General features: G+C 37.8%; 1 protein-coding gene across 3 annotated transcripts in view; it reads right to left on the bottom strand.

Moving 5' to 3' along the window:
• The window catches only part of MRPL1 (mitochondrial ribosomal protein L1), an 89,956-nt gene that overhangs the window by 48,233 nt on the left and 13,979 nt on the right, over positions 1–27,744 (bottom strand). For all 3 annotated transcript variants that reach the window (XM_047416089.1, NM_020236.4, XM_047416090.1), the window contains exons 3-6: positions 21,053–21,311; positions 19,214–19,297; positions 17,262–17,333; positions 10,303–10,414 (exon numbers count right to left, since the gene is read on the bottom strand). In XM_047416089.1, coding sequence (XP_047272045.1) covers positions 10,303–10,414; positions 17,262–17,333; positions 19,214–19,297; positions 21,053–21,311 — 527 coding nt within the window. The remainder of the gene's footprint in view (positions 1–10,302; positions 10,415–17,261; positions 17,334–19,213; positions 19,298–21,052; positions 21,312–27,744) is intronic.

The raw sequence follows: 27,744 nt of genomic DNA, 5'->3' as shown, positions 1-27,744 counted from the left end.
AGACACAGTCTTACTCCATCACCCAGGCTAGAGTGCAGTGGTGCAATCCTGGCTCACTGTAACTGCCACCTCCCAGGTTCAAGTGATTCTCCTGCCTCAGCCTCCCAAGTAGCTGGGATTACAAGCATGTGTCACCAAATTGAGCTAATTTTTGTATTTTTAGTAGAGATGGGGTTTCACCATGTTGGTCATGCTGGTCTCAAACTCCCAGCCTCAAGTGATTCACCTGCCTCAGCCTCCCATAGTGCTGGGATTACAGGTATGAACCAGCATGCCCGGACAAACTTTTTCTCCTTTTTTTTTTTTTTAAGACACAGTCTTGCTTTGTCACAGGTTGGACTGCAGTGGCACGATCTCAGCTCACTGCAGCCTCAATCTCCTGGGCTTGAGCAGTCCTCCCACCTCGGCCTCCCAAGTAGCTGGGACTCCAGGCACATGCCACCACACCCAGTAGATTTTTTTTTTTTTAAGTAGAGATTTGGTCTTGCTATTTTGCCCAGGCTGGTCTTGAATTCCTGAACTCACGAAACCGTCCTGCCTCGGCCTCCCAAAGTACTGGTATTACAGGTGTGAGTGTGCCACTGCGCTCAGCCTAAAATCATTTTTTCCATTCTAGGTTCTCTTTATTTCCATTTAAACATGAGAATATGCTTGCCAACTTTTTTTTTTAAAGCTTTCTGGGAGTTTGGTTGGGATTACATTCAATCTATAGAAAAAAATAAGTTTATCTTAATAATATGCTTTCAAATCCACTACTATGGTATATCCCTCTATTAACTTTCAGCAACATTTACCAGTTTTCTATGAAAAGGTCTTGCACAGCTTCCGTTAAATTTCCTCTTAAATATTTTTATTTCTTTATGCTCACATAAATGGAACTGTTTTAGAAATTTCAGTTTGATTGTAGGTTGGTTACATATAGAAATACCACTGATTTTCATGCATGGACCTTGTATCCTATAACCTCATTAAATTCACTAATTAGAATTCACTCACTAAAATAGCTTAGTATCATCTGGGAATAAAAAAAGATTTATTTCTTCCTTTCCCTTATGTATGCCCTTTATTTCACTGACCTCCATCCAGTACAATGTTGAACATAAGCACTGACAGCAGAGATCTTTGCCTTGTTCCTGATCTTAGGTAGAAAGCATTCCTTCTCAATGATCTCACCATTAAGAATATTGCTTTTTCATAGATGTGCTGTGTCAAGTTGAGGAATTTCACTTACATTTCCAGTATTCTGAGAGTTATTATTGCCAAAATGCTTTCTCTGCATCTGAGATGATATCAACGTTTTCATCTTTTATTCTACTAACATGGTGTATTATATTGATGTTCAGATATTAAGCCAATTTTGAATAACTGGAATAAATGTCACTGGTTAAGGTGTATTAACCTTTATTTTTATGTACATATATATTGCTGGATTCAACTTGCTAATATTTTGTTAACAGTATTTTTTGCGTCTATTCTCATGAAGGAAAAATCCTGTAGTTTTCTCGTAATGTCCTTGTCTACCTTTGTTATCAGGGTAATGCAGAGCTCATAAAACAAGCTGGTCAATGTTCTTTACTCACTATTTTCTAAAAGAGGTTGTGAAGAATTGGTATTATTTCTTCCTTAAAACGTTGGATAGAATTCACCAGTGGGAATCAGGTGGGCCTGGACTTTTCATGGGAGAACTTATACATGACTAATTCAATTTCTTTCCTTTATACAGATCTATTCAGGTTTTCCATTTCTTCCAGAAACTTTTGATAATTTGTCTTTCAAGGAATGTGTCATTTTATGTAAATTGTCACATTTATTTGCATAAATGTATTCATATTTCCTTATTATCATTTAAATTTATGGGATATGTATTCATGTCACCGCTTTCATTCCTGATATTAATAATCTGTCTTCCCTTTTTAAAAAAAAAATCAGTCCAGCTAAAGTTTTATCAGCTTTATTGAACTTTTTAAAGAACCAGTTTTGCTTTCATTGCTATTGTTTGTTCTTTTTCTATATCAGTGACTTCCACTATGTTCTTTATTATTTTTTCTTCCTTGTACTTAATTTGGGTTTAATTTGCTTCTTTTTTTCTAGGTTTATAAGATAAAAATCTTAGAACAATGATTTTAACCCATTCTTTTCTAACTCGGTTTTTTTTTTTTTTTTTTTTAGAAAGCCGGTCTCACTATGTTGCCCTGGCTAGAGTACAGTGGCTATGCACAGGCACAATCATAGAGCACTGCCACCCTGAACTCCTAGCCACCAGGGATCCTCCCATCTCAGTCTCCCAAGTGGCTGGAATGACAGGCATATGCCACTGTGCCCAGCTAATTTAGCCTTTAAAACTATAAATTTCCTTCTAAGTACTGCTTCAGCTGCATCCCACAAGTTCTGACATGTTGAGTTTTCAGTATCATTCAGTTTAAGACAGTCTTTCATTTCTTCTTTGATCAATGAGTTATTTACTAGTGGGCTTTTTCATTTTAATTTATTTAGAGATTTTTCATGGTTACTGATTTCTAATTTAACTCAGTTGCAAATCAGAACACATACGTGTGTCACTTCAATTCTTTTACATTCATAAATTTAAGACTTAATATATTCAGACCTGCCTTGTAACTCAGCAAATGGTCTACCATGGTGAATGTTCAACACCAAACAACATTTGCTGTTGTTGGGTGTTTTATAGACATCAGCTAGGCCAAGATGACTAAGAGTGTTGTTCAAATATTTTATATCCTTACTAATTTTCTGTCTATATGTTCTATCAGTTACTGAGACGAATATTAAAATCTCCAACTGTACTTGATGATTAGTCTATTTCTCCTTTCAATTCTGTCAGGTTTTGCCTCAAGTATTTTGAAGCTTTAAGATGAGTCTTATTATTATTATAGAATATCCATCTTTTTCTCTAATAATAATCATTGTCTTAAAAGTCTATTTTGTCTGATATTAATATAGAATCCAACTCTCTAATGCTTATAGTTTTTATGGTATATTTTTATCCACCATTTTACTTTCAGCCTATTTGTGTTTGACTATAACGTGTCTCTTGTAGACAGCATATAGTTGGGTTTTTTTTTTTTAATCTTATAATCTCTGCTTCTTGGAGTGTGTGGTCCATTTCCAATTATCATAACTATTTATATGGCTGAATTTAGGTCTTTATTTTGATATGTGTTTTCTATTTGTTTCATCTTATTTGTTCTTCTGTTCCTCCTTTACAGGCTTATTAAATAAAAAAATTTTAGCATATCATTTTTATTCCTCTATTTATAGTTTTAAGCTATATTTATTTGTGTGAGTATGTTTTACTTGCTCTAGGGAGCACAATGTGCATACTAACCACAACCTACTTCATATTAATACTGTTAATGCTTCATGTTAATACAAAATAAAGTTGCGCCAGCTTATCTACCTCCTTGACCCCTTCACCTTGTGATATTATTGTCATACCCAAATCTGCTTTACTTCCTGTGCATTTATAGTTAAAATAGTATTTACTAGGCTACTCAAGACCAAAATTAGGAAATCATTCTAGATCCTTCCCCCTCCCTTACCCCCTACATTTAATCAATAACTCCTGTTAATTCTAATTCTTAATATCCAACAACATCTTTCCTCATCTGTCTTCACTGCCACTACCAGACTCTTTCCTTCTTCATCTTTTACCTGGATTACTGTAATCGCCTCCTCGCTGGTCTCTGTTCTTAAAGTTTCACCATCCTCATATGGCTACCCTACCACTTATACAGTTCTCACAATACTCATTCTGATAAGCAAATCTTACATCATTCTTCTGAGCTAAAGTTTTCAATGGCTCCTATTTGCAAAGAGGATAAAATCTAATCTCCATGGTATAGCACACAAAGCCTGCTGTGACCTAGCCCACTGTCTATCACTGTCCAATCCCATTGACCACCAGTATCTGATAACATTTTATATACCAAATGATAGAAAGCTGCTTATAATTTCTTGAACACTACTGGCTCTCTCATACTTTTGTATATGTAAAATGGCCATTTCCTCTGCCTGATTCATGTAAGGAAAGCAAATGCCTATTCATGCTTAACCTCTCAACTGCAGTCTTCTTTATATAATCTCATTCTACAAAGCAGTCCCTCATTCCTCTACAATACTTTGTACATTTTCTACCAATAAACTTATTGCATTTTAGTGCAGCAGTTTGCTCTCATCTCTCTCTCCTCAGTGTTTATCTTCTTAAAGACAGAAAATGTCTTTTCAGTTTATTTTTCAATCCTCAGTACTAAGTGTAGTCAGCTGGCACATAGGTAGGCATGCCAATAATTATCTGCTTTTTCAACAAATAAGTTATGAAGGTGATATATAAATACATGAAAAAGAATAGCTTCTCCTAAAGTAATTGTGGAGAATGAATAGCTACTTTAGGAATGATAGGGAGCTAATGATAATCATAGTGGCCCACACATCATATGTTATGTACCCAGCTTGTGCTTCATACATTATCACAAAAACAGTATGGGATGGATGTTATAATGAAACTCATTTTGTAGATGAATAAATAAGGCACAAAATGTTAAAAAGTTTGCTCAAGGTCACAGTAACTGACAAAGACAAGACAAAGAGAGATCTATACTAACCACTATTCTACTCTGCTTTTCAATACAGGCAAATGTTAAATCATCACTGCTATTTCTAGGGCTTTGCTATCCCTTACTGCTATTTAACTGCTTTCCTCTTTCTCCACTTTCACTTTTCTCTGTGTTTTTAGGCTCTTCTTTCTTCATTTTCTTTCTTCCTTTCACTTTCTTTTCCTTTAATTCTCTATTCAATTTCCATAATGAACATAACCTATACTATACGATCAAGTATTTCCTCCTAAAATACCTTCTCTTTTCTTTTTTTAATCAAGGAAAACAAAGAAGAAATAGTTAGAAAAGAGGTGAGTTAGGACTGCATACATTACCTCCTGAAAGAAGTTGCAAGAAACAGAGAAAACTAAGAACAGACCTTTGAATATGGCAAAAGAAAAACCTGTGATAACTGAGAGAGCAATATTTTAGCTAAATTATGGAAGAAAAAGCTGTAAGGAATACTAATGCTTAGTAAGAAAATGAAGCCAATTGCTGAAGACCATTATTTGAAAAACTTAACATAAAACACATAAAAAACTAAGATCGCAGCTGGAAAGGATAGTTGAATCAAATGAAGGTGCGGGGGGGCTCGTGATTTGCTTTTTGTTTGTTTAAAGAAATCTGAGCATAAATGGCCAGGCATGGTTGCACATGCCTGTAATCCCAGCACTTTGGGAGACTGCAGCAGGTAGATCACTTGAGCTCATGAGTTCAAGACCAGCCTGGCCAACATGGCAAAACCCCGTCTCTACTGAAAATACAAAAAAAAAAAAAAAAAATGAGCCAGGCGTGGCAGCACATGCCTGTAGTCCCAGCTATTCTGGTGGCTGAGGCAAGAGAATCACCTGAACCCAGGAGGCAGAGGTTGCAGTGAGACAAGATCATGTCTCTGCACTCCAGCCTGGGTGACAGAACGAGACTCTGTCTCAAAAAAAAAAAAAAAAAAAAAATCTGTGCATAAGTAACTGTAAAAAGTTAAACTAGTTTCTCTACTGCAGAAAACAAAACTGTTAGTTCTATGACCGCAAGAACTTTGTCTGTCTTGTTCACTGCTATCACACCCAAGGCTTGGCACATAGTAGATACTCAACTACTATAAATACAATTATTCTGATAAAAAAAAAACTATAAATTGTATATAGTCCAAGCTGGGTGCGGTGGCTCACGCATGTAATCCCAGCACTTTGGGAAGCTGAGGGATGTGGATCATTTGAGGTCAGGAGTTTGAGACCAGCCTGGCCAACATGGTGAAACCCCATCTCTACTAAAAATACAAAAAAAATTACCTGGGCATGGTGGCGCACACCTGTAATCTCAGCTACTCAGGAGGCTGAGGCAGGAGAATTGTATGAACCCGGGAAGGGGAGGTTGCAGTGAGCCGAGATGTGCCACTGCGCTCCAGCCTGGGCAACAGAGCAAAACTCCGTCTCAAAAAAAAAAAAATTGTATACTCCATTTTTAAGTTACAGTTTAATTTTATATCTTCTACCAACTGAATGAGTGCTGGATTAAACATTCATTCATTCATTCATTCATTCATTCATTCAAATATTTGTAGAGTACGTACTATTTTCCAGGTACTATACTCTAGGCAATGGGAATGTAGCAATGGACAAAACAAAACCATCTTTGCTCTAATGAGAGGCACTGAACACACATCACACACACACACACAAAAAAAAGATGCTAAGAGTGATATGTCCTAAAATGAATACAAAAGCATAATAATGATATTTAGTGATAATAGGAAGTGGTAGTAATATTTTATATAGGATGGTCATGGAAGGTCTCTCTGTTTAGATGATGTTCGAATGAGAAAGTGAGCAAGGCAAGTAAGCAAACAGTACTACTACAGACCTATGCAACAGTAAATCCAAAGACCTGAGGAGGGAGAGTGCTTAGTGTGTATGAGGAAGATCAAGGAGGCTGCCAAGGCTGAAGTAAAGGAAGCAAAGGAAAGCATAACAGAACCAGCTATAATAGATCCATATTTCATCTACAACAATTGTAACAGTACCTAATCATTAATGGAGTCTTTCATACATGGATAGTTTTTAAACTAATATGTGAAGGGGCAGAAATTTAGAAAAATTTCAAATTCATTACCTTGCAAAAATTCTCCGTTTTGGTTATTTTCCCTTATATAACCAAAACTTCTGATTGTTCCAATAATGCAAACAAAACCCTGAAGTACAAGGTACTATTCTATGAGTTAAAAATGCTACACATTACAAGAACTTTAATATCCATGAGTCTCACGTATGATACAACACCAAATTCCTCACGGAAAGCAGTGTCCTGCTCATATGTGGATATCTTTTGGACAAGTCTGCTGGGATATCGTTTGGACAAGACATCGAGTGGAGCACTAGTGTTCAATTCTAAGAGTTAGAAGTTAAGAGGAATACACATTAGTGTAATTCTAATTTTCTAATCATGTCCCTTTCTTACCTGACAATAACTTAGTATGGTATAAAAGAATTCAACTGTTCCCATATATGCCACAGTACCTATCACAGGTTAATATGCATAATAAACATCTGATACCATTAAGTCAAGATTTTTTTTTGGCTGGGCACAGTGGTTCACGCCTGTAATCCCAGCACTTTGGGAGGCCAAGCACTTTAGGAGGCTGAAGCAGGCAGATTACCTGAGGTCAGAAGTTCGAGACCAGCCTGGCCAACATGTGTCTACTAAAAATACAAAATACTAGCTGGGTGTGGTGGCATGCTCCTGTAATCGCAGCTACTTGGGAGGCTGAGGCAGATTCACTTGAACCCAGGAGGCGGAGGTTGCAGTGAGCCGAGACTGCACCCCTGCACTCCAGCCTGGGCGACAGAGGGAAACTCTGACTCATAAAAAAAAAAGATATATTTCACGCTAGTGTTTTTAGTTTCTAAATGCTAATTTATAAATAGGATTAGAAATAAAAAAGTTTTAATTAACAAAACATATCTATATTAGAGATGAAAGAATTACAGAGGGTACTTATATTGGGGAGGAAGCCAGACGATAAGCAAAATAAAACCAAATTTCTTAGAAGGAATTTAAAAAAACAGGTTTTAATTTTTTTTAATAAAACAAAAAATATTGAGAAAACAAGCCAAATGTGCATTTGAAAAACAAAGAACTTGCCTACAGTTATGTAAGCAATTAAAATAAAACGAATAAAACTGCAGCATTAAACAAGCTGCAAAATGTACACACGCCCACTCCCATTAGTAAAACTGGAAATGGGAAACTAATGAGCTCAGCTGCAGGAGCTTGTTTTTTAATTTTCTCCACTTGCTCAAAATGTAATTTCTATTTTACACTAAAGACTTTTGTTGGATATAGGGGGAATCAAATGTTCTTAAACAAGAATCTGAATGAGCTTTGAAAATGCATAATAGAAGCTTCATTTGTTCTAATGCACATCTGATGTATTCCATTTAACATTTTTGACAGGTTGTTTGTTTTCATGTTTAAAGAACACAAATGTTTTACCAGTGCCATTAAATAGATCATGTTGGGGTGAAAAGAAGGTGTCAGAGAAGGGAAAAGGTCCATCTCTTCACTCAAGGTGCCTACGCAAATAGGGGGGAAAAACATACTTAGGTACTTGACCATGATATGTGAAGTTGCAATTCATTATGAAAGGAGAAATAAAGTAAAGCTCACTAATAAACATTTTATTAGGAAAATTATTATTTGGAATAAAGAAATAAGGTATTTGAAAACTAAAAAAGGTTCCAAATATTGAGATGCCAATGAGAAAAAAAAAACCCTCAAGGCTAAAAAAAAAAAAAAAGGAAGCTAAAAGGGTTACAGAGAGAATGGATAAAGTAGCAAAGGTGACAAAATTAATGTCTTTTAAAAATCAGATCACCATGCAAAGCAAGGAGCTAGATATCTAGAATACAAACATATTAGTATTCATTTTTGGTTTTTACTGTATTTAGTACTGTTTGTTTTGCTCTGATTTGAGCTTGAATTTAATTAAGAACAAAAAAGTTATGAGAAATATTTTCATCAAATTCAACTGCAATTCTGGTTTAATTTTTAAAATATGTTCAGTTTTAGGTCTTACTTAAGAAAGAATATAAACTGGACTCCATAATGAACACTGCTGTAAGGGAAATCCCTAATAAAAAGTGCCAGACACCAGTTCAAAATCTAATAAATATTTATGACTTAATGCATGCTATCAAAAATAAACAAAACTCTAACACAACAAAAGAACTGGAAAGTCCATTTGAATTTAATTTACAGGTCATGATCTAGAATTCAGACAAGTTGTTAGTGGCTAGGATATATAAAAATTTTAGCAGAATTTTTTTAGCTCAACTAGAGTTAAAATTTGAAGACAAATCTACTAACACAATTTTAAAATATTTGTTCTGTTTACACTACAAAATTTTATTTGAAATAATAATATACCAGACATCCAGCACTATCTAAAACAAACTGTGTCAGCAAGTGAACTTGTTTTTCCTCCCAATTGTACTCCCTGTTTCCATTAATGATAACACTTATTAGGAGAGTTCTCTAGACTTAAAAAACCTCAGTATCATTTGACTCTTCCTTTTCTCCCCCTCAACCTCTCCATTCCCAATTAATTGCTAAGTCCTAATATCCTTGACATTTATACATTTCACTCCAGTCTCGTTATGAAGACCTTAGCTTAAACATTACATTTATTAGTCTCTTGCCATTGTACCTGAACTGGTTTCCCTGTCTCTAGTTTCAATTATCTTAAAAACCTCTTGCCAGATTAAAGCTCTAAAGAACAGATTATGTCACTCCCATCTCAAAAACTTCTGAGTCCTGCTGAATATAGAATGCAGATGTTCATGCTCATTAGCCCATCATTCAAAGTTCTTCTCAATACGGCATCAATCTACCTTTCCAACATCATTTCCCATTATTCTCTTCTATTTCAATGTAGGGGTACCACTCCCCACAGTCAAAGAGAGCTAATTAATATTTCTTGTACCTGGCCTATGATTTCTGACTTACTTTGGTGTCTATGATTAATACATTCCTTCTACTTAAAATATTCTCCTCAATCAATTCATCCAACTAATGTTACCTCCTTTATGTTTAAATGTTACCTCTTTTATGATGCCTTCCCTGATTCCTCACCTATGTGTAAACTCCACCTCCACTGAACACCCCTAGCACTTTTTTAATTTATTATATAATACCTCACACTTTATAACACAGTTCCTTATTTAGTGACCTTAACTTTCTTATTAGATTTCTTAAGGAGAAAATATCCATAAGGGGAAAATTTCTTAAGAGAAATTACCTTCAGAGCCATGCATATGGTCAACATTCATACATATGTTGAACACTTTTAAATAAATGGGCATACATATTATATTGATAAACAGGGATAAAAGCCAATAAAACAGTATGATGATAATATACTGAGTAAATAATACATTCCACTAATTGGGAGCTAGACTTTGATCTACATTTTAAAAACTGGTATTATAAAGTAACTAGGTTTTCAAATCATATTAGATTACCAGTATTAATGCCAAAGCGGGGGAAAAAAATCAAACCCGTAGGTTCTCGTAACTCAAACTCAAATACCAGGACATACTATTTATTCTACGCATACATGAACAACTTTGTTTCCTAACTAAGCAAAGTTCACAAGAAAGTTGTTGACAGGATATTGAAATAATAGGAATTCTCTTACTTCGAGAAAGCTTTGGATATTTTTTATTCAGTTTCTTCCTTAATCGATTAAGTTCAGGCATTATTTCTGGAACAGCTACGTAAAAGTCTGCAACAATTTCATCATCCCAAATCTGAAAATTAAAAAAAAAAAGGTGACCTCAGATGAGATGAAAAGCTTTATCGTTCTGAAAAAGTACAATGTAGTCATTTCCTTTATAATTCAGAAAACAGACATTAAGCACAATTCTTTTCTTCAAACACAAAGATCATACAAATACACCTGTCAATTATAAAAACCATCAGAAGTAAAACATTTTCCTTTAAAAACAGCCACATCCTTAAAAAAAAAAATTAATGGTTTCTTCCTTTGGGTTGTGTTAGGCAAAAGTGTTACAAGTCACAACACAGCAATGAATGTGTGCATGGCTTACAGAATCCCACAAAGTTAAATTCATATATTTATTAAAACTGAAGGAACCTACAAAAGCTGAAACTTTTGCAACAGATCACATGTAAAATTAATAACCACTAACTGCCAAACTCACTAGCAACCACTAGCTTCCTAAATTTAGAGCATCAGAGAATTGAATTTATAATTACTTTCACAAAGAACTGAAACTGAAATTTTCCTTACCACCGATAACTAAGAATAAAAGAAGACGTGGTGATCAAAGACAAGTTCACTTATAGTTTATTATCCATACTCTATATCCATTCTCAGAACAAAGGAATTAATATTCAATTTTTAGAAAACATTTTTATTAATTCAGGCAAGCACCTAAAATAACTATTATACTACTACAATATACTCCACTTAAACTCTACTTAATATACTCTACTTAAAACATACAATATACTCCACTTAAACTCCACACCTGTAATCCCAGCACTTTGGGAGGCCAAGGCAGGCAAATCAATTGAGCTCAGGAGTTTGAAATTAGCCTGGGCAACAAGGCAAAATCCTGTCTCTACAAAAAATATAAAAACTAGCCGGGCGTGGTGGCACACATCTGTAGTCCCAGGTAACCGGGAGGCTGAGGTGGGAGGATTGCTTGAAGCCAGGAAGGCAGAGGTTGCAGTAAGCCAAGATCGTGCCACTGCCCAAGCAAGAAATATTTTACCAATGATTCCCTTTGTATGAAATCTTACAATATGCCATTCAAAGCCTTGATTTAGGGGTACACGGTGAATTAAAAACTTGAATTCTGACAAAATTAAGCAATGACTATGGAATTTTATCCTTCTGTTACTATTCTTTGCACAAATTTTTAGTCCTTAAATAACATACCTCTCCTTAACAACAACTTACATTAAATGGGCACTTCTCATGTGCCAAGCATTCTGCTAAATATTTAATATAATTTAGAACATCCAGTCTTCATAACAAACCTTGAGACAGGTACCAGTATTGACCACACATTCCAGATAAAAAAAACTGAGGGATCAGGGAGGATGAGTCAGTCTGTACACACCTAAGAGGCAGAGCTAGAATTGAAAAACAGGCAGTGTGGGTCCAGAACCAGGGGTCTCATCACTGGAAATAGGAAAGCAGAGGCAATTTCTAAATGTCAAAGAACTGTATGTGAGATTTCTATTTCAAGATTTTCCAATCCTAATTCTATGACATGTTCCTTTAAATTAAAATTATGTTTGGAAGTTATGCTATAAGTAGGACTGTATCTTGGAATAATAAAAAACTGTGGATGGAAATCAAGCTCTTAGAGACAAGTAAAAATATGAAGTTACTTTAAAATCACTCAGAACCAGGCATATCTGTGATGTTTCAAAATAAAGTAAAATAAATTTAATAAATGAATGTGTTATCTAAGAAATTACTACGTGGTGCGGTGGCTCACACCTGTAATCTCAGCACTTTGGGAGGCCGAGGAAGGTTGGATCGCCTGAGGTCAGGAGTTCAAGACCAGCCTGGCCAACACGGTGAAACCCCATCTCTACTAAAAATAAAAAAAATTAGCTGGGCGTGGTGGCAGGTGCCTGTAATCCCAGCTACTCGGGAGGCAGATTCAGGAGAATTGCTTGAACCCGGGAGGTGGAGGTTGCAGTGAGCCGAGATTGCGCCATTGCACTCCCCACTGGGCAACAAGAGCGAAACTCCATCTCAAAAAGAGAAAAAAAAAAAAAGAAATGACTACATAAATTTATCCTACTTGGCATTTTATAGAGCTAAGCAAAATGATAAACTAATTTAAAAACACAGGAATGTATAAAAAATTGCAGCCATAATATTATTTACTAAACTGTATTGAATTTACCTCATAACCTGAATACCTTCTAAAAATAACATGGACTAGCTTTAAAAAGACACCACGGGGTAACTTGCAAACTTATCCTATGATGCCTTACACAGATGGCATGCTCCCTCTAATAACAGATCCTCTACTGGGGCCCTAAAGAGAAATTCTGTACCTGTTAATATTTTCTATACTACAGAATTTTAAAATGTCTTTGGCTTCCTTATTTGGGTTACTTTAAAAAATGTGTTTCATTTAGTGAACTTACAGCTTCATAACACTTTCTGCTCTATTACCATTTCTTTCTTGAGAGGTAACTTCTTGCTTAACATTTAAGAACCAAAGGCCAGGTGTGGTGTCTTGGCTGGGAGCAGTGGCTCACGCCTATAATCCCAACATTTTGGGAGGCCAAGGCGGGCAGATCACTTGAAGCCAGGAGTTCGAGACCAGTCTGGCCAATGTGGCAAAACCCCATCTCTACTAAAAATACAAAAATTAGCTGGGCACAGTGGCAGGCGCCTGTAATCCCAGCTACTAGGGAGGCTGAGGCAGGAGAATCACTTGAACTCAGGAGGCAGAGGTTGCAGTGAGCCGAGATCACGTCACTGCACTCCAGCCTGGGTGATGCAACGACACACTGTCTCAAAAAAAATGAAAAAAAAAAAAAACAAAAAAAACTGAACCAAAGGAGTGGCTATGACAGTTCTACAAGGTAACTTTAGTGGTTGCAAGAAGAAAATAGAAAGCTGTATACAAACTCAAGATTAGTTCTCTGATTCTAGAGACCCAGCTCTATTCTCAAATTACCAAACATTTGTGATGATTATTTTTTAATAATTAAAAGTTTTAATAATTTTTTAATTAAAATTAATAATACAACAGAAAGAACTGAGTCCCACTGACTCTGGCCTAGAACCTGTATTAAAGCATACTCTTCCTACTTTCCACTAGTTCTGCAACCAAAAATCATTCTGAAGACCCTCTTTATTTAAAATCCAGAATCCTCACCAAATTTAGAGTACTTTTAGGGGTGGGAAAAAAACAAACTATGAGCACTGCTGTTTACCTCAAAGGATGAGCCCAGTTAAAAGTTCCCCAAATGAAAATTTGAATATGGGACAAAGGATAAATTTTCAAATCACTATTTCCTGTCTACTTTCTCCTCCCCGGCAAAAATTCCATAACATATAGAAATGCTTGTGATTTTTGCACATTGATTTTGTATCCTGAGACTTTGCTGAAGTTGCTTATCAGCTTAAGGAGATTTGGGGCTGAGACGATGGGGTTTTCTAAATATACAATCGTGTCATCTGCAAACAGAGACAATTTGACTTCCTCTTTTCCTAATTGAATATCCTTTATTTCTTTCTCTTGCCTGATTGCCCTGGCCAGAACTTCCAACACTATGTTGAATAGGAGTGAGAGAGGGCATCCCTGTCTTGTGCCAGTTTTCAAAGGGAATGCTTCCAGTTTTTGCCCATTCAGTATGATATTGGCTGTGGGTTTGTCATAAATAGCTCTTATTGTTTTGAGATATGTCCCATCAATACCTAGTTTATTGAGAGTTTTTAGCATGAAGGGCTGTTGAATTTTGTCGAAGGTCTTTTCTGCATCTATTGAGATAATCATGTGGTTTTTGTCTTTGGTTCTGTTTATATGATGGATTACATTTATTGATTTGCATATGTTGAACCAGCCTTGCATCCCAGGGATGAAGCCCACTTGATCGTGGTGGATAAGCTTTAGCTTTTTGATGTGCTGCTGGATTTGGGTTGCCAGTATTTTACTGAGGATTTTTGCATCGATGTTCATCAGGGATATTGGTCTAAAATTCTCTTTTTTTGTCGTGTCTCTGCCAGGCTTTGGTATCAGGATGATGCTGGCCTCATAAAATGAATTAGGGAGGATTCCCTCTTTTTCTATTGATTGGAATAGTTTCAGAAGGAATGGTACCAGCTCCTCTTTGTACCTCTGGTAGAATCTGGCTGTGAATCCATCTGGTCCTGGACTTTTTTTGGTTGATAGGCTATTAATTATTGCCTCAATTTCAGAGCCTGTTATTGGTCTATTCAGGGATTCAACTTCTTCCTGGTTTAGTCTTGGGAGGGTGTATATGTCCAGGAATTTATCCATTTCTTCTAGATTTTCTAGTTTATTTGCGTAGAGGTATTTATAGTATTCTCTGATGGTAGTTTGTATTTCTGTGGGATCGGTGGTGATATCCCCTTTATCATTTTTTATTGTGTCTATTTGATTCTTCTCTTTTCTTGTGTATTAGTCTTGTTAGCGATCTATCAATTTTGTTGATCTCTTCAAAAAACCAGCTAATGGATTCATTGATTTTTTGAAGGGTTTTTTGTATCTCTATCTCCTTCAGTTCTGTTCTGATCTTAGTTATTTCTTGCTTTCTGCTAGCTTTTGAATTAGTTTGCTCTTGCTTCTCTAGTTCTTTTAATTGTGATGTTAGGGTGCCAATTTTAGATCTTTCCTGCTTTCTCTTGTGGGCATTTAGTGCTATAAATTTCTCTCTACACACTGCTTCAAATGTGTCCCAGAGATTCTGGTATGTTGTGTCTTTTTTCTCATTGGTTTCAAAGAACATCTTTATTTCTGCCTTCATTTCGTTATGTACCCAGTAGTCATTCAGGAGCAGGTTGTTCAGTTTCCATGTAGTTGAGCGGTTTTGAGTGAGTGTCTTAATCCTGAGTTCTAGTCTCACTGCACTGTGGTCTGAGAGACAGTTTGTTATAATTTCTGTTCTTTTACATTTGCTGAGGAGTGCTTTACTTCCAACTATGTGGTCAATTTTGGAATAAGTGCAATGTGGTGCTGAGAAGAACGCATATTCTGTTGATTTGGGGTGGAGAGTTCTGTAGATGTCTATTAGGTCTGCTTGGTGCAGAGCTGAGTTCAATTCCTGGATATCCTTGTTAACTTTCTGTCTCGTTGATGTGTCTAATGTTGACAGTGTGGTGTTAAAGTCTCTCATTATTATTGTGTGGGAGTCTAAGTCTCTTTCTAGGTCTCTAAGGACTTGCTTTATGAATCTGGGTGCCCCTGTATTGGGTGCATATATATTTAGGATAGTTAGCTCTTCTTGTTGAATTGACAGGGTGGGGAACATCACACACCGGGCCCTGTCTTGGAGTAGGGGACGGGGGAGGGATAGCATTAGGAGATATACCTAATGTAAATGACGAGTTAATGGGTGCAGCACACCAACATGGTACATATATACATACGTAACAAACCTGCATGCTGTGCACATCTACCCTAGAACTTAAAGTATAATAAAAAAAATTCCATAACTTTATAATAAAGGATTTTATCTAGAGGAGGAACTTTTAGAGAGAACCCTAAGAAAAATCTTTTATATTTTCAGAAATAACTCCATGCCTCTTCTTCCTACTTCCTAAAAAGGAAAAAAAAAGTTCTCATTTTCAAAGAGGCTCTCCAAGCTCTGTTATTTTCTTATTTATTTGTTTGTTTATTTATTTTATTTATTTATTTTTTTGGAGACAGAGTCTCGCTCTGTTGCCTAGGCTGGAGTGTAGGCGCAATCTCGGCTCACTGCAAACTCCGCCTCCTGGGTTCAAGAGATTCTTGTGCCTCAGCCTCCCAAGTAGCTAGGATTACAGGCATGTGCCACCACGCCTGGCTAATTTTTGTATTTTTAGTAGAGGTGGGGATTCACCGTGTTGGCCAGGCTGGTCCCAAACTCCTGGCCTCAAGTGATCTGCCCACCTCAGCCTCCCAAAGTGCTGAGATTACAGGCATGAGCCACTGCGTCCAGCGAAGCTCTGTTACCTTCTAAAGGCAGGCTACATAATCACTTGTTGCTACCATACTGAGTCTATGCCATTCTGAAAGGATTAGAAGCTAAAAGTTAAGAGGAACCAAAAGCACCAACATTATAGAGGGCAGATACCATACTTTATAATCTACTAAGTGAATTACACCTTCACTCCAAGAAAAAAAACAAATATTTGATCTTCAAAACATGAATAGAGGTGTCCATGGGTATCAATGAAATCCATGCGACCTTGTGGATTTCATTTTAAACCTTACATTCAAAACCAGAGTCACACTGCCCTTTCCTATCTATCCACAAAACTCTCAGACAAAAAAGAAGCGAAAAATAGTAATAATAATAATAATCACAATAATAATTCAAGTATAATCAATATCAGACTGTCTGAGGTTGGGTGTGGTGGCTCACACCTGTAACCCCAGTACTTTGGGAGGCCAAGGCAGGAGGATTGCTTGATGCCAAGAGTTCAAGACCAGCCTGGGCAACAAACAAGAACCCTATCTCTACAAAAAAATTAGCCGAGTGCAGTGGCATGCACCTTTAGTCCCAGCTACTCAGAAGGCTGAGGCAGGAGGATTGCTTGAGCTCAGGAGTTCAAGGCTGCAGTGAGCCATAATTGCACCACCATCTTCTAGTCTGGACAACAGAGAGAGACCTTGTCTCAAACACAGACAAACACACACACACACACACCCCAAATAAACACAAACACACAAAATCAGACTGTCTGGATAGTTTTCTCCTAGCTTGATTTTGAAACTGAAGAAAGTTGGAAATTTTTTTCCTGCTCTTATAAAGACCTATTAACTATTTATCATAAGATATGAGACTAGTGTTCCACATATAACAGATCAATGAATGGTAAAGATAACAGAATCATCTCTATACTTAATGAACATGAAAACAACACTGTACCTTCTGTATCAGACTAGTGCCTCCTGCAAATGCAGCTCCATTTTCTTCCGCTATTTTGACCTCTGATGCATTCTACCAAAACACAATAATTTGAAAATCAATCATTAATTTTAAATATATTCAGTCTGCTTTGAAGTATGTTGTCAGAAATAATATCACAGTTCAAAGTACAAATTGTAGCTTTTATTTTTAATTGAAAATGTGGCTGGATGCAGTGGCTCTCACTGGTAATCCCAGAAGTTTGGGAGGCTGAGGCGGATAGTTCCCGAGGTCAGGAGTTCAAGACTAGCCTGGCCAACATGGCAAAACTGTCTCTACTAAAAATATAAAAATTGGCCGGACGTGGTGGCACACACCTGTAAGTCCCAGCTACTCAGGAGGCTGAGGCAGAAGAATCCTTGAACCCAGGAGGGGGAGGATGCAGTAAGCTGAGATCACACCACTGCACTCCAGCCTGGGTGGCAGAGTGAGACTCCATCTCAAAAAAAAAAAAAAAAAAAAAGAAAATGCAAACCAGGTGCAGTGAGCCACACCTGTAATCCCAACATTTTGGCAGGCTGAGTCAAGAGGATCACTTGAAGCCAGGAGTTCTAGACCAGCCTGGGCAACAAAGTGAGATCCCCGATCTCTACAAAAAAATATTAAAAATTAGCCTGCCAGGCTGGGTATGGTGGCTCACGCCTGTAATCTCAGCACTTTGAGAGGCCAAGGCAGGCAGTCACCTAAGGTCAGGAGCTCGAGACCAGCCTGACCAACGTGGAGAAACCCCGTCTCTACTAAAAATACAAAATTAGCCAGGTGTGGTGGTGCATGCCTGTAATCGCAGCTACTCGGGAGGCTGAGGCAAGAGAATCACTTGAACCCAGGAGGCAGAGGTTGCGGTAAGCCAAGATCACGCCATTGCATTCCAGCCTGGGCAACAAGAGCAAGACTCCATCTCAAAGAAAAAAAAAAATTAGCCTGCCATATAGTGGCTAGCACCCGCAGTTCCAGCTACTCAGTAGGCTGAGGCAGGAGAATCGCTTCAGCCCAGGAGTCCGAGGCTATAGTGAGTATGACTGCACCACTGTACTCCAGCCTGGACAACAGACCAAGACCCTGTCTCAAAAAAGAACTGAATGCATGAATTTTCAATTAAATGCATCAGGGATATTACATTCAGAACCATTATAGTTTGTGGATGATTAAAAAAAAATCATAAACACATTATAAACAAACATTTATTTAGGACAGTTTTATAAAGACTAGATACTTTTGAAAGTTGTGGTTTCTAAGGCACCACAGTACTAAATGGTTCCATTGCTTTAAAATAATCTTGTTGTCTGGGGAGAGAAGTTTGAACAGAAAGCAGCAGTTAATAGGATAAATTGATAAATTCCACTTTTCAGTTTCTTGTGAGAAACACAATGTAGCATTCTAGTAATGATGAAACTAATGTTCTAATTTAGCTCTTTCTCAAGCTAATAATATAACCTCAAATAAATCATCTAAATGTTTTGAGCTCCAAATGGGGAAAATAAGACTAGGTGAATGCTAGGATTTTCTCTAACTCCATTTATTCAGGGTGCTAATGATTGGTTAATAATTAATGATTAATTTGTGATCTCTAAAAAAAATTAAATGATGAGGCTGGACATGGTGGCTCACACCTGTAATCCCAGCACTTTGGGAGGCCGAGGCGGGCGGATCACAAGGTCAAGAGATCAAGACTACCCCGGCCAACATGGTGAAAACCTGTCTCTACTAAAAATACAAAAATTAGCTGGGCGTGGTGGTGCACACCTGTAGTCCCAGCTACTTGGGAGGCTGAGGCAGGAGAATCGCTTGAACCTGGGAGGCGGAGGTTGCAGTGAGCCGAGGTTGCCCCACTGCACTCCAGACTGGTGACAGAGTGAGACTCCGTCTCAAAAAAAAAAATTAAATGATATAAATAGTTGACGGAAGTTACTCACCTCTGTAAATACAGCAACTTTATTGATTTCGGAAGCAAATGGGTATGGCAAACTAAGAACACTGGTAAATGGCTCCACGTTTTTCTAAACACATGACAAGGAAAAATAATTACGTAAAGTTAATCTTTTCTATTTCACACACTCTATATAAAACAAGAACGGACATGTTTTGTTTTCAGTGTTCTGATTCTACTCTATGTTCTTCCATTAATTCAGAACTATTCATTGATTACTATTCATGAATTACTATTCATCGATTACAATTTAAAGCACAACAGATTATTTTTTTTTCAAGAAACTTTTTCAAGATTATATTTTTTTGAGAATAAAAAACTAAAATCTCTTTTTCCAGCTTCATAATCCCATGCCACTTGGCTTCTATCTCTACATCATTCATCACAGTCTCTCAAATATTATGAAATGTGTTTGCATATCAACATCTTCCCCAGCACTAGTACAATGCTTTCCATCTGATGTATAATAAATGTTTGCTATCTTCAATTAAATTTGTTTTAAACCCATGTAATCTTCTGACACCATCAGGGAGACATGACTACAGCTGTACATGCTGAACAATAGACAATATCCAGCTGATCTGCCCAGTAGGTCACCCCCAATTGCCATCATTGGCTCTAAACTATCAGGAATTGTAAACCCTAAACCCAAGACAAAATGTCGAGCCTAAAGGGATCTTCTGAGTGACTCTATTTTTGAAACAACCTAGACCATCATCACTTTCAGATTTATTTAGAAAGTCAATTGGAAAATCCTAAATAAACAATGGCATGCATTTGAGGCACGCTAATACAGGTGGAGATTTTACAGGACCACTAAACTAATCTGTCTAGTCATTTTGACCAGGAACTATTGAGGCCTGAGGCCTAGATCTCTCAGGGAGATTTTACAGAGAAACAAGTTCTAGGCCCTCCAAAGTTTTGTTGCAGCCTTAAGGTTTGGAAGAAAAGGTGGTTGTTCCCCTAATAAAACTGATTGAAGGATCAATATTTTTAGAAAAACCTTATTTTGAGTAGAAACATCCTCCTCGGGATTTCTTTATAGACAAGGAGAGACAAATTCTCTTTTTTTTTTTTTTTTGAGATGGAGTCTTGCTCTGTCGCCCAGGCTGGAGTGCAGTGGTGCGACCCCAAGGAACACATCTGAAGGACACTGAGCTAATCCAGAGCCCTCATTTACAGAGAAGAAACATGCCACCTAGGCAGTTTAAATCACTTTTCAAAGTTACAGTGATACCTCCGTTAATTTTAACACTACTTTTGTTGAAATTTATACTAGTGACTCTCTTAGAGGAAATAGGAAATCTATGTTAACTCTCTAGAGTGTTTTCAACAAATTTTATATTTGGAAAATTTTTAAATGAACAAACATATTTTTCATGCTAAAGTACAGAAAGAGCATGAAGTTTTCTAAAAATTATGAGAGGCAATAATTTTTAAAATTAAGAGGCCAGGCACAGTGGCTCATGCATGTAATCCCAGCACTTTGGGAGGCCAAGGAGCGCAGAGTGCTTGAGCCCCAGAGTTCAAAACCAGCCTGGGCAAAATGGGGAAACCTCATCTGTACTAAAAGTACAAAAATTAGCTGGGCGTGGTAGAACACACCTGTAGTCCCAGCTACTCAGGAAGCTGAGGTGGCAGGATCACCTGAGCCCGGGAGGTGGAGTCTGCAGTGAGCTGAGATCATACCACCGCACTCCAGCCTGGGCAACACGGCAAGAAGACCCTGTCTCAAAAATAATAATAACAATAAAATAAAATAAAGAAACACCAATTCATACAGCCACTGTTCACAGGTAAACTTATTTTAATGGACTCTACATACCTTCTTTCCCAGTGCCATATCCAGTGTCAAATCAAGATAAACACTTTGCTTTGGACTAGTAAAGTCAAGAATTTGAAATTTCTTAAGTAAGTGAACAGCTTTCTCCACCTCATATATCTGTCTCGGGTATAAGCGTTTTAAATAGACATCATCCTCAGGTTCGCCTTCCATATAGGGATATGCTTTTATTTTTTCTATTTCATCTTTTTTCTCATCTGGTGTTTTTTCTTTAGCACCTTTTTTTGTTTTCTTTGCAGACCTTAAAAGAAAATAAAGTTGAGTTATATCAATATATATCCTAAGAGATTTTTTTTAAAAAAAAAGCCAGTGTACATAAGAGAAAAAAAAACAAAGGATGAATTATATTTTAATTCAAAAGCATAGACTGCTTTACAGTTTTTCTAATTCAACAAACATGAAGTGAACTTTTCCAATGTCTGAAGTCATGAATAAGTTGAATTACCGCACTGATGCTGCTCTCCAGAAACTTACAGAGGAGTAGATCAGAAAGACATACTAACAGGTCATTTCAATATAATGTAGTAATACAAGAGCATCATCAGAGCCTGACAGAAAAGACATTCAATCCAGCCTAGGAGGCTAGGGAAAAGTTATAGAGGAAATGACCTCAAAGTCAATTCTTAATGGATAAGGAAGTGTTAGCACCCCAAAGAAGTGAAAACATATGACACAAAATCTAGTACACAAATGTTCTTAGCAGCATTATTCATAACAGCCAAAAAGTAGAAACAACCCAAATGTCTATCAACTGATGAATGGATACATAAAATGTGGTATGTCCATATAATGGAATATTAATCAACAATTAATAAAAGAATGAAATATTGATCAATGCTACAACACGCATGAACCCTAAAAACATTAAGCTAAGTGAAAGAAGCCAGTCACAAAAGCCCACATATTATTCCATTTATACCAAATATCAAGAATGAGCAAACCTAAGAGACTAAAAAGTAGATCTGGTGGTTGTCTAGTGCTAGAAGAGGAGGTTAGGGGAACAAGAAGTGAATGCTCATGGGCATGGGGTTCTCTGGGAAAGCAATGAAAATGCTCTAAAACTGATTACAGTGATGGCTGCACAACTGTGAGTATACTAACAACCAATGAACTGTACACTTTAAATGGGTGAATTGTGTGATATGTAATTATATGATACCTTAATAAAGCCATTATTTAAAAAATAATAGAGTTAGCCAGGTAAAGAAACAACGTAATAAAAAGTACTGAGGCACAAAATAAAATGGTATAAGAAGGAAGCTATTATAAGTTCTACATGACTAGAGCAGAGTTGGCAAACTTTTTCTGTAAAGGACCAGATAGTAAATGTTTTAGCTTTGTGAGCCATATGTTCTCTGCTGCAATGACTCAACGCTGCCACTGTAGTGCAAATATAGTCGGTAAACAAGATTGGCTGACTCGCCAAAGTTTGCTGACTTCTGAACTAAAACGGTAAAAGAGAAGGCAGGCAAGAGTGGAAGATGAGGTTAGAAAAGACAGAGCATAGGGGGGCATCCTCTAGAGGCAATAAGAAGTCAGTAAACAGGAGTAACATCTGTATTTTAGGCAAGGTATTCTGGCTGCAATATAAGAGAGAGACCTGAAGGAAGTAGGATTGAAAACAATTAAGAGTCTGTTCCCGCCCTTTCTTCTCAGAGATATGAGAACCTGAACCAGAGTAGCAACAGTAATAAGACTGGAAAAGATGGCAGATTAGAGAATACTTGTCAAGCTAAATACTGGGCCAAGCACGAGGGCTCACGCCTGCAATTCCAGCACTTTGGGAGGCCAAGGCAGGAGGACTGTTTGAGGCCAGGAGTTCAAGACCAGCCTGGGCAATATAGCAAGACCCTGCCTCTACCAAATCAAAAAAATTAGCTGGGCATAGTGGTACACACCTGTGGTCCCAGCTACTTAGGAGGCTGATTTGGAAGGATCACCTGAGCTCAGGAGTCTGAGACTGCAGTGAGCTGATTATGTCAGTGCACTCCAGGTAGGTGACAGAGTGAGACCCTGTCTCAAAAAAAAAAAAAAAAAAAGTAAATATTGAAGATGGGAAAAGGAGAGAATAAAGACTCCAAAATACTTCCTAGGTATCTAGCTTGGGTGACTAGGCATAGAATAGAATCATTAACTAAGATCAGAAATAAAGAGGGCAAAACAGGTTTCTGGTGAGGGAGGCAGTCACAGAGATTAGTTCAAGTTTGGGGGATATGAAGTTTGAGTATGGGTCAATTGTATCATTGGTCCCAATTCTTTACCTCCTTTCCATTCAAGCCCTTTGCTAAATGACTTTGCTGTTCCTCCCACTAAAGAGGAGTATATTTCCCAGCCCCTTTATTTGTCCATGTGACTACTTTTGGCTGACAGAATAAAGCAAAGATGACAGTTTCCCTGCTCTATGCTTAGGCCAAAAGAAGTTTCACATGTTTCTACTTTCATGTTTGCATTTCTGCCTTTTCATTAGAAGAACATGCCTAGGCTAGCTCAAAGGTAGAAGGATGAGAAACATGTGGAACAGAGCTGCCTCCACAGAGCCCCAGGCTACATGAGATGATTCTCAGCTTACCTGCAAACTTACAGATGCACTACAAGTCCAGCCAAGGTCATCAGAGATATCCATCAAACCCAGCCTATGTCAGCTGACCCATAGATATGTGGGCAATGATAAATAATTGTGGAGTGGTTTGTTACATAGCAAAAGCTAACAAGGTGCTTACAAAATATCTAAGAAAATATATTTACCAGGTAATGGCAGATAAGAATTTGAAGATAAAAAGAACTAGAGGTGATGTAATTTTCTCAGCATTAATTCAGATCATGTCTGTACTCTTCTAACCATAAAAGTTTTAAATTAGTGTAATAGTATTCTGGAAAGATGTTCCGGTTCTGTGGTAGTCAGAATAATAATGCCTCAAAGAGACCCATATCCTAATTCCCAAATCTTGTGAATATATTACCTTACATGGCAAAAAAAAAAAAAAAAAGACCTTGCAGACGAGATAAGGTTAAAGACCTTGAGATGGAGAGTTATCCTAGATTATCTACGTGGGCCCAATCTAATCACATGCATCCTTAAAAGTGAGAGTCTTTTCCCCTTCCCAACTGCATCACACAGATATGGGAAAATGACACTGAAGAAATTCAAGCAACCAGCCATTGCTTTGAAGATGAAGGATGAGGGCCATGAGCTAAAGAATGTGGGTGGCCTCTTGAAGCTGGGGATTGCAAGGAAATGGATTATCCCCTAGAGCCTCCAGAAAATAAACTGCCAATACCTTGATTTTAGCCCAGTGAGATCCATGTCAGACTACTCGCCTACTGAACTGTGAAATGAAAAACTTGTATAGTTTTAAGCCTCAAAGTTTGTGGTAATTTGTTATGGCAGAGATGGCAATTTGTTATGGAAGAAAATGAATATGAAGTCCTATAAAACTGATGTGAAAGAAATGGATGATAATAAAACAGTTTTTTAAAAAAGACCTCAAAAACCAATTCAACGTATAATTCCATTCTCACTTTTAGTACTCAGTAAATCCTTACTACCACCACTAATAATAGTACCCTCCCAGCTAATGAGCAATTCAACAGAATATTAGATAATGACAATGCTCATTTTCAATGGGGCACAGGTGTCCTTCTGGACTGATGACAAGTCTAAGCAAGTGCCCAAGTGGATGCATACAACACATCTCAACAGCTACCGTGGAAGTACTCCACAAAATCCTGAAACCTTCCAAACTGGAGCAACCATATTTTTACTTTATATTTAGCAAAGCAGCAGAGAAGCCAACAGAAGGATTTTGGAGAGCCTGTTTTAGGAATAAATTCTCCTATTTAAAATAACAAAATGTTCTAGCTGTAGCCTCCAGGCTTACTTTACATAAATGCAGAATTCGCCACTAAATTTTCAATCATAGTGGAACCTATGCAATTAATTTGCAATTAATCTGATATTCCCCAAGGCTGAAATATGACTTTTTAAATTAATAAATATTTTCAAAATTCAATGAAAGTCTGATACATAAAGAGTCTGAGTTGGGTATATTGCAATTTATTTATACTTTGGACCTTGTTTCACAACATATTTAAAGTGGTTGAGTGAAAATATTTATAAACACAAAAAAAGTATAACAACATTATAATACTGATCAAATAGGACTCTCAGGAAAATGCATTCTTAAAAAAAGAACTGCAATTTAACAAATTTCTTCCAAATAATTAATCTAACAGACCTGCCACCTGTTTTCCATGGCCTTCCAAAAAATAGCTACCTTTATTCATAAGAATCACATTCAGAAGAACTTTGTTGTTCATGCAATTATATAAAGCTCTATCAGGAACCCTTAAATACTGTGATTCTCAGAGAATACAATAAATCATACTAGAAAGATTTTTGGGAAGGTAGAGGACAAACACCTGGCAGTCTGAATCAAAGAGAACAGAACTTAGCTGCAGTTACCTGGGTAACTAAACCACACAGATTAAACGAGTAATAAGAGACTGTACAAAAGCAATAACTTTTCCCCTGTCTCATCTGTCTCCCAACTCCAAAAACATGATTTCCATGGTCATACCCAATAAAATATGATTTTTTTTGTTTTTAAGACGGAGTCTCGCTCTGTTGCCAGACTGGAGTGCAGTGGTGCGATCTGGGCTCACTGCAACGTCCGCCTCCCAGGTTCAAGCGGTTCTCCTGCCTCAGCCTCCCGAGTAGCTGGGACTACAGGTGCCTGCCACCATGACCAGCTCATTTTTTCTATTTTTAGTAGAGACAAGGTTTCACCATGTTGGCCAGGATGGTCTCGAACTCCAGACCTTGTGATCTGCCCGCCTCGGCCTCCCAAAGTGCTAGGATTACAGACATGAGCCACTGCACCTGGCCTAAAATAAGATTTTTAAAAATCAGAGATATAATAAAGTTCACTTCAAGGCCTTTGAAAATCTGTGACCCCCAAGAGACCAATCCAAGTCTTTCCAAGGCTGAAGAATCCTTTACATTGGGACATTAGTGGGGGGAAATTCGTACAACCTCTGTAAAACTAAAACGAACTAAACAGAACTAAAGAGAAAATGCCTAGGGCATATTAATGGAATGGAAATATTTGGAATTCTTATTTCTTAGTGTAATCACATAAAGAAATTCACTAACATCTCTGATGCTGGTTTACTCATTACCTTTTAAACTAAATGCAGAAGTTCTGTTTCCACTTAAAATGTAAAAGCTGGAAAGACCATTAACAACGAGAAAGAGCTCGATAAAAATCACAACTTTTCTTGAACCCATGACGGAGCGAGACTGAACGCAAATAACCTGAAATCCAAGGACAGTCAGTCCCACACTCCAGTTCCCACCACAGTCTCCCTTGCGCCAGAGCACGAGAGAAAGGCAAGCAGGTAAGAAACAACCAGCTACAATTTTAGGGCTAGTGTGACAGTATAAACCTCTTGGGAGACCCAGGCATACGGGGAGTTCACACTCAATTCACAGGCCATTTTCCACATACCTCCCACCAGGTGCTCCCAGGAAAGACTGGAGCAAAGCAGAAGATTAGAAGCGCGCCGTCCCCCCACCCCCCAGCCAGTTGCAGGCACACAGGAAAAGGCACAGGTAAACACGCACTGTGTCTAACGATGGAAGGGAGAAAGAAGATAAAAACCTACAACACTTCTACCCACTGAGAGCAGGGCAGGAAATAGTCCAGAGCCCAGTATCCTGTACCAATCCAGCTAGGGAAGGGCTAGGAAACTTCCCCATAAGACATGCAACAGATAAGTGGTGCCATGAAGAGAAGGAACAGAAATGCTGAGAAAACCCCAACCCCAAGGTCCAGCTGCACTGGGCCTACTTAAGACTAGGGCTGCATTTATTTAAAAAAAAAAAAAAAAAAAATCCCTCCCAACACCCATCACCAGGAATAGAAGTCTACTGCTAGGGAAGGGTGCAAAAGAGTGACCCACCCCACCCCACCCCATCACTGCCACTGAAACACAGCTGCACAGGGAATGCAGAAAATTGAGCATGAACAGGAACGCTGAGAAAAACCCTCCAGCAACCCAGCCCCCACCCTAAGAACAAGGTAACTACAGAAATTTGAAGCTGATGGTAACCATGGCAACAACAAAACCAAAACCTAGCTCAACTCCTGACAAGATTGACTCAATGCTCTGACAGATGAAGGGGCATGCCTGTTTGCAGGCGTAAATATTATTTACTTCAGTCCCTACACAACATATCTCGCATTCAGATATCTGACATAAGCAAGAAAAAAACCCATTGTCAGGCCAGGTGTGGTGGCTAACGCCTGTAATCCCAGCACTTTGGGAGGCCAAGGCAGGCGGATCACCTGAGGTCAGGAGTTCGAGACCAGACTGGCCAACAGGGTGAAACCCCGTCTCTACTAAAAATACAAAATTAGCTGGGCGTGGTGGTGCGCGCCTGTAATCCCTGTTACTCAGGAGGCTGAGGCAGGAGAATCACTTGAACCTGGGAAGCGGAAGTTGCAGTAAGCCAAGATCACGCCATTGCATTCCAGCCTGGGCAAAAAGAGCAAAACTCCACTCAAAAATAAATAAATAAATAAAGAAGAGTAAAGAAAAAGAAAAAACCCACAGTCAAGAGAGAAACAAAACCAGACTCAACCTAATGGCCTTTTTAAAAATCAGGATCTGCT

The sequence above is a fragment of the Homo sapiens genome, chromosome 4 (genome assembly GCF_000001405.40).
Source record: "Homo sapiens chromosome 4, GRCh38.p14 Primary Assembly".
NCBI classification, from domain to species: domain Eukaryota; kingdom Metazoa; phylum Chordata; class Mammalia; order Primates; family Hominidae; genus Homo; species Homo sapiens.
This window is presented reverse-complemented; position numbering and strand designations above follow the sequence as displayed.